Source organism: Homo sapiens, chromosome X (genome assembly GCF_000001405.40).
Source record: "Homo sapiens chromosome X, GRCh38.p14 Primary Assembly".
Lineage (NCBI taxonomy): Eukaryota > Metazoa > Chordata > Mammalia > Primates > Hominidae > Homo > Homo sapiens.
This window is the reverse complement of record NC_000023.11, coordinates 20418374-20430587: the sequence shown is the minus strand read 5'-3', so window position 1 is coordinate 20430587 and position 12214 is coordinate 20418374. Positions and strand designations below refer to the sequence as shown.

General features: G+C 40.9%; 2 annotated features.

Annotated features, from left to right (window-relative positions):
- Positions 11538–11727: an enhancer, noted in NCBI's record as "active region_29484". NCBI's record gives its function as "activates an Ori minimal core promoter by ATAC-STARR-seq in GM12878 lymphoblastoid cells {active_cell/tissue: GM12878}" and the evidence as "EXISTENCE:reporter gene assay evidence [ECO:0000049][PMID:35858748]".
- Positions 11758–11867: an enhancer, noted in NCBI's record as "active region_29483". NCBI's record gives its function as "activates an Ori minimal core promoter by ATAC-STARR-seq in GM12878 lymphoblastoid cells {active_cell/tissue: GM12878}" and the evidence as "EXISTENCE:reporter gene assay evidence [ECO:0000049][PMID:35858748]".

Genomic DNA, 12214 nt, shown 5'->3' with positions numbered 1-12214 from the left:
TCTATGCCAATGCTTCTGATACTTTAGCATGCATAAGAATTTAGCAGGTTGTTAAAACACAGATTCCTACCCAGCCCCGGAGAATATGATTCAGTAGGACTGGTGTGGACCCCAAGGTTCTGCAGCTCTAACAGGCACCCAGTTGCTGATGCTACTGCTGCTGGTCTGGAAACCACCCTTGGAATAGCACTGTTCTATACTAATAGCCTATTCAGTGAAGGCTGAAATCCCACCTTTGGAGATCCCTTTCCTGGGGTAAAGAAATGTGCAAATAAAATTTGCAAACCCATGTTATCGACCAAAGCAACTAAAGCTGTATTATAAATTTGGGTTTCAATTCAATTAAGCAAACTTACTTTGCTGCCTTGTACTGCATCAGCTGTAGACATCAATCTTAACTTTAAGAAGTATTCAATCTATATATGTATATAAATAACAAGGCAAATTATAGCAAGGCTGTGATATGACAAATACCAAAAATAAAGTACAAAAATCCTATGAGGATATCATTTTCAGGGGATATCAAAGTGAAGATAAGTAGTCAGAAAATAGTCAAAGAATGCTTATAGAGAAAGCTTGCAAGATACTTTGCAATTTGCCATAGAGCTTTCATATAATCTCATTTATCCCATAGAAAAGGCCTATGAGGTATATATGACTTTATCTATTTTATAGATGAAGAAACAAAGGCTGAGAGCGCTAAAATAATTTGTCCAAGTTACATTAAAAACAAATGAGTAAGATTTTAAGTGATGAAGCTAAGATGAAAGTCATCCCTGGATGAAGAAAGAGCTGGAGAAGAGAAAGGAAATTATGAGGGTCTGATAGTAACAAGAGTATGAATAGTAAAAAAAAAAATGACATTATTTGCCCACTTAATAATGCCACATACAGTACTAACAACTTAATACACATTACCTCATGTAATCCTAAAAAGGAATCCCATAAAATAAGTATTATTATTATCCCCGTTTACCAAGGAGGAAAACTGAGGCACAGAAAGTTTAAGTAACATGTCCAAGGTCACACAGCTAATAAGTAGCTCTGCCAGAATTGGCACCCAGCTCTCTTAGTGTTTTAGTAGAGAGCAAGGGGTGTACTGGATGACTAGGAAATTTGATGCTACAGGTGAGGGGCAGATAAGATTAGAAAAGGGACTATCTACCTAAGAAGGGTTGAATTTGATATGGTAAGCGAAGGGGAGTTAATGAAAATTTTGTTTTGTTTTATTTTAAATATGAGAGTAAAAAGATCAGAAATCTGTTTCAGAATGATATCTCTGGAAACAGAGTCTAGGATGGTTTACAGGGGGACACAGAAGGCCAAATTTATCAGTTATGACTTCCAGGATTCACCTGAGAGCTGGAGCCAGAAGACTGTGACAAGCCCCAGATAAGTATTGAATCGCAGGAAGGAGGAGAAAGGGCTCCAGAACTGAGATTTTGTTCAAGAGGACACACTGCAGAGAGGCATCATGACCAGCCCTAAGGGTTGGGGACCTCAAGTAGACCTTAGAGAAGCCTAGAATCCTTGGGTTGGTGAGATACTTTACAGTTTGCCATAGAGCATGCATATAATCTCATTTTGTCTTTAGAAGAAGCCTGTGGAATAGATATCACCTGCTCTATTTTGTTTTTCATTTTTTGTTTGTTTGGTTTTGTTTTGAGACAGGGTCTCATTCTGTCACTCAGGCTGGAGGGCAGTGGCGTGATCACTGCTTACTGCAGCCTCTGCCTCCCAGGCGCAATCAATCCTCTCACCTCAGCCTCCTGAGTAGCTGGGACCACAAGTACACACCACCACACTCGGCTAATTTTTGTATTTTTTGTAAAGATGGGGTTTCACCATGTTGCCCAGGCTAGTCTCAAACTCCTGGGCTCAAGTGATCTGCCCACCTCAGCCTCCCAAAGTGGTGAGATTAGAGGCGTGAGCCATCACACCCCCCTGCCCCCCTACTACCCCATTTTGTAGATAAAGAAATGAAGGCTTGGAGGGTGAAAAACAATTTGTCAAAGTTACAAAGCAAGGAAAGCTAGAGCCAAAGAATTAAGTTCAGAGTTTACATTACACTTTCCTGAAAGAAAAAATTGGACATGTTTCACACGTTGGCTGACAGCCCTGATGGTGGTTCCCTGTGGCAGCAGGTCATAGGGCCCTGAAGGCAGTCAGTAAAAAGAGACTTCCAAGATCAAATAAGATGAGATTAAATTGGGTTGTCACCTACAGAACTGCTCAAAGCCTCCAATGTATGTAGGCATTGCAAAGCTATAAAAAAGGAGGCTGTAGTATACATCGTTTGCCAAAAAGAAAATATTGGCATATAAAAGCTTTACATTTTGCAGAATACGTATTAACCATGCAGCATAATGTGCAACTACTCTGAACCCTTCCCTGAGGAAGTTATTCTCAGTAAGGTCATCATATGATTGCTTGCTGGATCAAGAAGTGAATCCATTGGATGCCTTCAGCACTTCCATGATTCTATATGTGAGGCCTGACACTGGTGCACATAATAAAGGCTTGTTGCTTTAGAAAAAGAAAAAAAGTATTCTTCACTATCTGAACTTGTTATACAAACTCTCGCTATCTGAACTCAGGAACCAAATAGATTTGGGAAAGCATAGAATACTTGTATATACTTCTCTCAAATGAGATACACATTTCTTAACTTCCTGGGGGGATGGGGAATATAAGGTAAACCTTTATGGAAATATGTTACTAAACACATAATAGGCTACAGTGAGTCAATTGCCTGACTGCACCATTCCTATCCTTCTTTACTCATCTGTTTGTTGGAGGGGACTAGAAACCTGCAAACTACATTTCCCAGACTCCCTGGCCTGTTGGCCTCGGGTTAGGATCTGCCAATGGGAAGGAATGAGGGGAGACAGGAAGGTGGAAGGAAGGCAGAAGACATTTTTCTCCTCCTTCTGGTGGCATCTCTGACTCAGCAGATGGCCTTCTATTTTTCCAGCAGCTGTGGTGATGGGCAATTGCTGGTGGCTGCCAGCCACTGGGTGCTACAGTGACATTAGCAGATCTTGACATGATGGGCAGCTGCAGACTCCAGTGGCCTTTGGTGTTTTCAAGAGTGACAAGATTCCAAAAGCTGCAGCAGTGGTTAATTTCAGTGACGAATATGCTTCTGAGCTCTGAAAACATCACCTCTTACCTTTTGTTCCTCCAGTCCTAGTAATGGTTCCTCCAGTCCCTAGGGTAGCTTCTTGCAGTGGCTACTCTCTGTGGTACCTAACTTCCCCTTTTTGCTCCTTGCACTTTGCCAATTCTTTTGTAAACAATTTCCTATATCAAATTCCCTCTGAAATACCTAGACTAGTTCTGTTTTCCTAACTGAGCACTGACTGATATACTCACACAACTGAAGTTTCCCATGTTATTGCACTATTTCTCGAACTTTCCTATAGAAGCCCTTCTCAAGGTAGAGAAGGATGAATGTGATTTCTATTTTCCCCACATCTGGCATCTGATGGTTTAGCCCAAAGCAGTTTCCAAAAGCAGGAAATATATTTTCAATCTTTTGTTTCATCTTAAAAAGTTTATTTTCATATAAAATAGACCTCATAGATGATTTCACGTGAAAGATGCATCAAGTTTATTCTGTGGTTTTGCTTACCCTGGCCTGTCATACACCTGCTGGTGTGAATATCTCAGTTTGAAAAGCAAAAAATCCAAGTGCCATCTAAGACCCTCTTAGCAATAAGTCACCAAAGGACTGGCTCTTCTCTTTAGAGAGCAAACTCTGGAAGGCACCTTGGCAAAGTGGAAAATATATGGGGTCTGGAGCCAGACAGTCTGGGTTCCAATTCTAGGAGATATTTATTAGCTGTGTGACTAAAGGCCAATTTTTTTTAGCCTCTCTGAGCCTTGATTTCTTTGTCTATAAATTGAAGCTAGGAATCTCTACCATACCAGGTTGTTGTGAGGATTTGCTATAATATAGGAAAAATGCTTGGGACCTTCTAGACACTTAACAAATGATAAATTGCTATTGCAATTATCTGCCAATGCACATGGCAGCCTTTCCTGGTTGGCATTCAAACTCCTCCTCTCTGTAGCTCTTGGGAATGAAAATAAAGCTAACAGCCCACTCCCATATTCATCAGCTAAAAGAAGACTTCATAGAAATTGATAATTGTTTCTCATCAGGAAGAAGACAGGACCTCTTGATCCAGTGACTTACTTTTAGTCAGCCTTAATCTCTCCTAACAGGGAACTGTTTCATGAAGGGGGTCAATAGTGACACCTCTACAACCATTATCATTTGTGCTGCCTCTCATTGTTTTCTTACATTCCAGAATGCCAAATAATGTCTGGAAACCTAGGCACAGCTTCTGCCCAGTAGCTCATAATATAAATATACTTTTCTATAATTGTAGGATGTGTGCATCCGATGCTGAAACCACACTGGCTGTGCCACATTTGACTCCAGGCAAAAATTTAAATAAAATGGGCAGCCTGAGCTTCAAACATTTGGGAGATGGATATGCTTTGGGTTTGTTGAGAATTTGTGTCCTTTGTCTCTAGGTGAAATCTTCACTATTATTAGAAGCTGTAATAGTCATAAACAGCAATAACGCTGTCAAGAAATGCATGACTTCAAGATGCTATATTTAAAGGACACTTACTTTGAAGTGCTTACATTTATGAGACAGAGAGTATGAGTCCTAACTCTTTGCATGGTCTCCTGTCATTCCTTCTCTCCTATTATGCCCATAGTTATGTCTTCATCACTAAATGTTCACTGGGCTAGTATCAGTAGACCATGTTTTAAATTTTAGATAAATGATAATAAACCAGAAGGAATTAGATCTTAGACCTTCAAGTTTTATTCTAAAGGATTGTGAAATAAGTGGTCAATTGAAGGAGGGAAAGGAGGGCTTGGTACACTTAAAAAATAGCAGGTACTTGCTTTGTAGAGGAAGAGAATTTTTTATTTTATAAAAATTAATGAATTCTGTTTGCTTTAAAAATGTGATCACCATACCTACATCAGCATTTCAGTAGTCCAATACTTCCATTTAATTGATTAATAATTTTAGTAAGTTTAGACACTTCAAAAGATGATCCATTTATTCATTCAAGGAATAAATATTTGTTGAGCACCTACTATGTGTCAGGCAGTGTAATAGGCAAAGACTAATATAATTCTTGCCATTGTGGAACTGAGAGTCTATTGGGGTAGGTAGACCTAGTGGGTTGAATAGTTGCCCCCCAAAAGATATGCACACTCAAAACTTATGAATATAACTTTATTTGGAAAAGGGTCTTTGCAGATATAATTAAGGTAAGTTTCTTGAAATGAGATCATCCTGAATGAGGGTGGGCCCTCAATCCAGTAAGTGTCCTTATAGGAGACAGAAGAAAAAGACTAAGAGACACAGGGGAAAAGACCACGTGAAGACAAAGGCAGAGAATGCAGTGATGCTGCCACAAGCCAAGGAATACAAGGAGCCACCAGAAGCTGGAAGAGGCAAGGAAGGACATTTCCCTAGAGCCCTTGGAGGGAGCATGGCCTTGCTGACACCTTGATTCAGACCTCTGGCCTCCAGGATGGTGACAGAATAAATTTATGTTGTTCTAAACCAAGTTTGTGATAATTTGTTATGGCAGCCCTAGGAAACTAGTACAGAAGATATGAGTCAAATACAAAATAAACGTAAAATTGCAATTGAGCTGAAAGCTATGATAGAGAGTTAAGTGATGTGACAAGAGCAAACACCACAGAGATCTGACCTACTCAGGAAGATCAGGGAATGATCTGAGAGTGCAGATTGTGCCACTGCACTCCAACCTGGGTGACAGAGTGAGACTGTGTCTCGAAAACAAAACAAACAAACAAACGAACAACAAACAACAACAAACCACAAAGTCTGGGATCTGCATGGAAAGATTGGTGAATGGATGCACATTTTGAATAAAATGGTAAAGGTCTTCATGTATAATTTTTAATGATTCTTATTTTATGGAGCTTTTCAAACCAACTGTTTAATTATCTGTATGGATTACATATCATCATATCATACGCTGAACTTAATAATTTAAATGTGGGTTAGACGAATGTCTTTCCTTGGCCTGTTTCTTATCTATACGGTGTTTTCTACAATTTTCCATTTCAATTTTTTAAAGAAAGAACTAAAATACATTTGCAAGCATTCTGAGTGCAGAATCCTCCTAGAGTTTTATTTTCTGATATATTTTGCAGCTTTATCACTTATACCTAATTAAACAGCAATTTTTATAGCAACCTGCCTTTACTGAGTCTTCCCAAAGCATTCAATCTAATTTTTATAGGAAAAAAAAACCTCCCTCTCTGAAATATGAATGTGTTCATGTTTCATCAACTTATGTAACGGTTCATTAAATTATGTAATTATTTCAAAAAGGGACAAAAACAGGTTAGGGATTCTTAGTAAACACACAGCTTCACAGGTAGGAACAGAAATATGTGAGCATCCCGAAGAGTCATCTACTAGCAATGAGCAGTCACTATGCAGTGCGCATGGATTGTATATTTTACAGAGGGGATAAATGGAAAGCACTAGTAAATCCAGCAGGATGCCAGTTAAAAGAATAAAGCTGAATCTGGGTTTTAACAAGAAGGGATTAGTAGTAATAGTAGTAGTAGTATCATTGTTATTACCATTATTATTTTCAGAGACAGAGTCTCATTCTGTCACCCAGGCTGGAATGCAGTGGCACAATCATAGCTCACTGTAATCTCAAACTCTTGGGCTCCAGCGATTCTCTTGCCTCAGCCTCCCAAGTACCTGGGACTATAGGCACAGGCCACCACATCCAGCTAATTTATTTTAAATTTTTTGTAGAGTTGGGCTCTCACTATGTTGCCCAGACTGGGGAGAATGGATTTAATGTGGAAAAGAATGGATGATCATAGACCAATGAGGCTAACCTAATAGTTTATGTGAGATAAGATGGCTTGGATTACGTTGGTTATGAATAATGGTAATGGAAAGATATGCCCAATTTGAGAGATATTTAGGAGGTGTCTTGGTTCATTCGGGCTGCTATGACAACCAACTGTAGACTGGGTAGCTCATAAACAACAAACATTTATTTATTACAGTTCTGGAGGCTGAGGAGTCCAAGGCTCTGGAAAATTCGGTGTCTGCTGATGGCGCACTTTCTCGTACATGGCGCCTTCTTGCTGCATCCTCACATGGTGAAAGGGGTGAAGGAGGCTCTCTCAGTCCTCTTTTACAGGGACACTATTCATGAGGGCTCCACCCTCATGACCTCCTCACCTCTTCAAGGCCCCATCTTTTAATACTATCACATTGGAGATTAGGTTTCAACATATGAATTTTTGGGGGGACACAAACATTCAGACCATGGCAGGAGTTAAAATTGGCAAGCTGGTGAATTGGATCTGGTGAAAGATACTGAAGGGTCAAAGGTGACTCCAAGTTTCTGGTTTGTGAAACTGGATAGATACTGATATATTTACTGACTTAGGTTATGCAGGAATTGGAACAAGTTTGAGATAAGTTTGGGATATGTTGAATTTGAGGTACCATTAATCCAAAGGGGTCTAGAACTAAGAGGAGATGTCTGAGCTAAAGTTTAGCATTAAAATATGATTAATCTCACCTAACAATATATTAACAGTCATGACAACTTTCTTTCTTCCTTTTTAATCTTGTTTAGAGATGGAATCTCGCTCTGTCACCCGGGCTGGAGTGTAGTGGTGCACTCAGAGCTCACTGCAGCCTCGAACTTCTGGGCTCAAGTGGTCTTCCTGCCTCAGCCTCCCAAGTAGCTAGGACTACAAGCCTGGGCCACTATACCCAGCTAATTTTTTTTTTAATTTTTGTTGTAGAGACAGGGTCTTTCTATGTTGCCTAAGCTGATGACAACTTTCAATCAGCAAGAATTGTGCTTTGATTAAAATCTCATTAGCTGCAGTATCACTTCTGCACAAAAATTGTCACGACAATTTTGGATTTACATGTATACCTTATAAGGTTATCCACTGCCAATATTTAACAGCCTAGGTGGAAACACACATGCATATACACCATTCCATAGGTAACAAAATTTCAAAAGAAAACCTGATTTGTTGATGAGAACACATGGACAAATACAGGGGAAAAACACACACTGGGGCCTATCAGAGGGTGGAGGGTGGAGGGTGGAGGGTGGGAAGAGGAAGAGGATCAGGAAAAATAACTAATGGATACTAGGCTTAATACCTGGGTGATGAAACAATCTGTACAATAAACCCCCGTGACACATGTTCACCTGTGTAACAAACCTGCACATCCTGCCCGTGTACCCCTGAACTTAAAAGTTAAAAAAATTAAAAAACAATAACAGAAATAATTCGCAAATCATACACACACAAAAAAAAACCTGATTTGTTGTGATTCTTGTCTTCCTCTCATTAATTGTAATAGTAACATGTATTGAGTGTTTTCTATATGCCAGGCATTCTAAGTGCTCTCATGTATTTTAATTCTTTCAATCTTTATAAAGATTCTTTAAGATAGATATTGATATTATCATGTCCATTTCACAGATGAAGAGGGTGAGCCACAGACAGAATGAGTAACTGGTCTAGGATTGGCCACCCAATCAGCAGCAGAGATATGAGTCAAGCCAAAGTGGTCTGTGTCCAAATCCAGTGCCCATAACCACTACACCACACTGCCCCACAAAGGGAGGCATTCAACACCCACAAGGATTTCTAGACACAGGGCGTACTCCAAAATTCTGAAGTAGTCCCACTTGACCCAGCTCACCATCTGTAGTCATACAATTCCTCAGCCCCCAGGTTCCCGTGCTTTTAGAAAAATACATTCCCTAAAGTGGCAGCAATGATTGCTTCTTCAAATGTTTTTAAGTCTTTGTGCTGCTGGCTCAGATGGTTTTCTTGCTGGCACAGGAAAGCAATAAAGCCAATAAGGAAACTATGAAGAAGAAAGCTTCTCAAAAGAGATCTGAAATCATTTTTCAAAGTATGTAGAAGGGGGAAATGTTTGCAAAACAATAAGATCTGTCTGCAAAACTTTCCAAAAGCTTTAGCAATACCAGGCACTCGACATCTCCAAGAAACCCTTTAATCTCTGAGATAGTGAAGACGTCATAAGCATCAGTGCATTAATAACAAAGGACTTGTTTTTCTATTGAGCAGCTAAAATATATTTCTTTCCTGGGAAATATTTTCTAGATTTCATCATTCCTGGTCATAAATTATGTATTTTTAAATTGTTGTTACTCAGCTGATAGAGTCAGTTGGACAATTATTTTTACAGAGGCATAACTTGACAGTGATTTAATATCACAAACTTCACTGTGCCTGCTCTAAGTTTGTCATTTGAAAATAAAATCATTTGAGAAAAGCAAATTCATCTTGCACAGAAAAACTATGATAAAATTATACTGTCTTTCACACAGCCCTAGGTAAGATTCCAAACTCATGTTTCTTTTATCTTGTTGGTAAGTCCCCCTCAAATCAAAGTTGTCTTAATGCCTATTCCTTCTTTTTTTCTTTTTCTTTTTATCTATTGTCTCCCTCCACCTACCTTATCCATCTTATCTCCTACTCCTCCTTCTCTCCTATTCTCACCTCCTATCTTCCTAACTGGTAGTCTTTACCCTTCTCAATTCCGAAAAGAATTAAATCATGTACATGTATCATGTTTTCAACTTTTGCCATTGGTATATAGCAGGAGTTGGCAAACCACAGCCTGTTGACCAAATATAGCCCTCTGCCTGTTGTTATAAAGTTTTGTTGGAACACAGGCTAACGTATTTGTTTTCATACTGTCTATGGCTGTTTTTCGTGGTACAAGAGCAGAGTTGAATAGTTGCAACTGAGACCCTATGGCCTGCAAAGCCTGAAATATTTACTATATGGACCTATACAGAAAAACTTTGCTGACCAAAGTATAGCCCTCAGACTCTAGCAGCCAGATTTCCGGGGTCTTTGGACATATGTCTCTAGGTCAGGGGCCTGGATCACAATTTGGCTACCTTGTGACCCTAGAAAGTCACTTACCATCTCTGTGCTCCAGTTCTCTCATTTGTAAAATCAGAACCCCCGAAAGTCATTTTTGCCCCTATTTCAGAAGGTCACAGTAATCACACATAAAATTACATTCTCAATATATGAATGGGGAAAGGTATTGAAACACTGTAACTTCAGATCCCAGGAACACGGTTTTCCAGCGGGCATCATCCACAAATGACCTGGGCAGCAAATAGGCCTTCCAATTGAGATATTCCAATCTCAATATTTGTCTTTAATTGCTCACTCACCTTCATACCCTCCCTTTCCAGGTGTGAGAGTTCACTTGTGATAAAGAAGCATAAGGCCAGCTTCACATACTCCCTGCAGAAGGAATTCAGTGGCTGAGTCCACCCAGGGAGCTACTAGGCCCAGCACCAACATGAGACCCCATAGCTAGCTGCCAGAAGTTTGTGCTGGCCATGGCTGCTTGAAGTTTGTTCTTTAGCTGCTGTTTTCTCAAGATGTTCCCAGGTTGCCACTTTTGGGCTGAGGCTGCCACCCTGCTTGTTATACTTCAATTTATGAAGCCTGGTGTTGTCATTCAAGCTGTTTAAGGACAACATTGTTTCTCCTCAAACTTACTTGGCAAAATGATCCCCTTGTGAAAACATGGATATGGTACTGAGAGCCTTTGTGGAGATCATGTACATACATGTTTGGGATTGTTTCTCACCTCTTCAACAGAATATTGGCGAATAAACACCCTCTACAGATATCACAAAATGGCAGTCATCAATATGGCGTCATCTTCAGGTCTATAATGAGGAACAATTTGAGAATAGCCCAAATGGGCTCCCTTCCTATGTTCCCTATTTGACTGAAGGCGTGAAAAGACTCAGGTGAAAATGTTAATGTCACTTAGAAGAGTCCAGGCTTTAACCTGTGACCACTCCAAATTCCCATCAGCTAGCAAAGTCCTGACAAATTTGATGTGGAGGAAAGAAATGAGAAAGTCCGGGACTAAGGAACATGGGAGAGAAGGGCATACCACATGCCTGCATAAAGGGTGTCACAAGGACACAGCTAACCCAGCAAGGGACTCCTGCAGAAGACTGCTGTCCACATCTAGCAGGAAGGTGCAAGCACCGGGTTCTTCAAAGACTCCTAGCTCTTGCTGCTAAAGGCATGTGCATCACCTGGGAGCTTGTCAAAGATGTAGAATCTTAGGCCCTATCCCAGACCAGCTGTACTTTAATGAGATCCCCAGGTGATTCATACTTGCATTAGAGTTGAGAAGCGCTGCCCTAGGGCAGGCTCAATAGTAAAAAAGGACTTGTGCCAGTTTTTAAGTTGTTGTCCAGTAACTAATTTATTCTCTCAGCTCCAAACCTGCTCTCCTATGCTCTGTTCTGTGACGCTGACGCTGGGGCTCCATAAAGCGCATATCTGCTTTGCCAGCTGCACCTTTTTCAGCTCTGCCAGCCAGATACCACCTCCCAGGAGTCCAGCCCCACAGGCCCCTCCTCTGAGCTCAGAGACTTCAGCACCAGCTGAGCGGTGCCCACCCTCAGAGCTCTGAGTTTCAGCAGTATGGGGCCCCTCCTCTAAGTTTCTAGATTTTGGTATTTCCAGCTTCTTCCTTTGTTCCCTCAGCCTCAGGGGTGGGGTTCCTGCACTTGCTACCTCTGAAGTACCTTCGAGTTCTCTTTTTGCCCTTTCAATTACCTAGTCAACAACAACTTTATACTTCGTTTTCATTAACAGTGTCTTTCTATGAAAACCTCACTATTCAAATACCTGGTATGCCTTCTGTCTCCTGATTAGACCCCAGGGTAATCCACCAGAACTAGTCCAGGGACAGGCTGCTCCCACGGGGCGACCAGATGCCTTTCTATTGCACCCTCCTCACCACAGAGAAAGCCTAAAAAGAATAACACACCCCACAGCCCCCAAGGAGAGGCCCCTCTTACCCTAGAGGATGTGCCAGCTGTGCTTAAGGGCCAAAGCTAAACCCAGACAGGAAGCGTGGGCAGAGAAGAGGGCCAGAGAAAGAGGCCCCTGGGTTGCTGGCCCACATGTGGCTCAGAGCCCTCAGAAGCCCTGCTACTTCGCACTGTCGAACTTCCCCCAGCTCCTCTGTGCCACTACGTAGTCCCACTATGAGAGAAGGAGACTGGTGTTCAGCAAAGGGAATAGCTCCTTTCTTGGGTTGGAGTGGGGGTG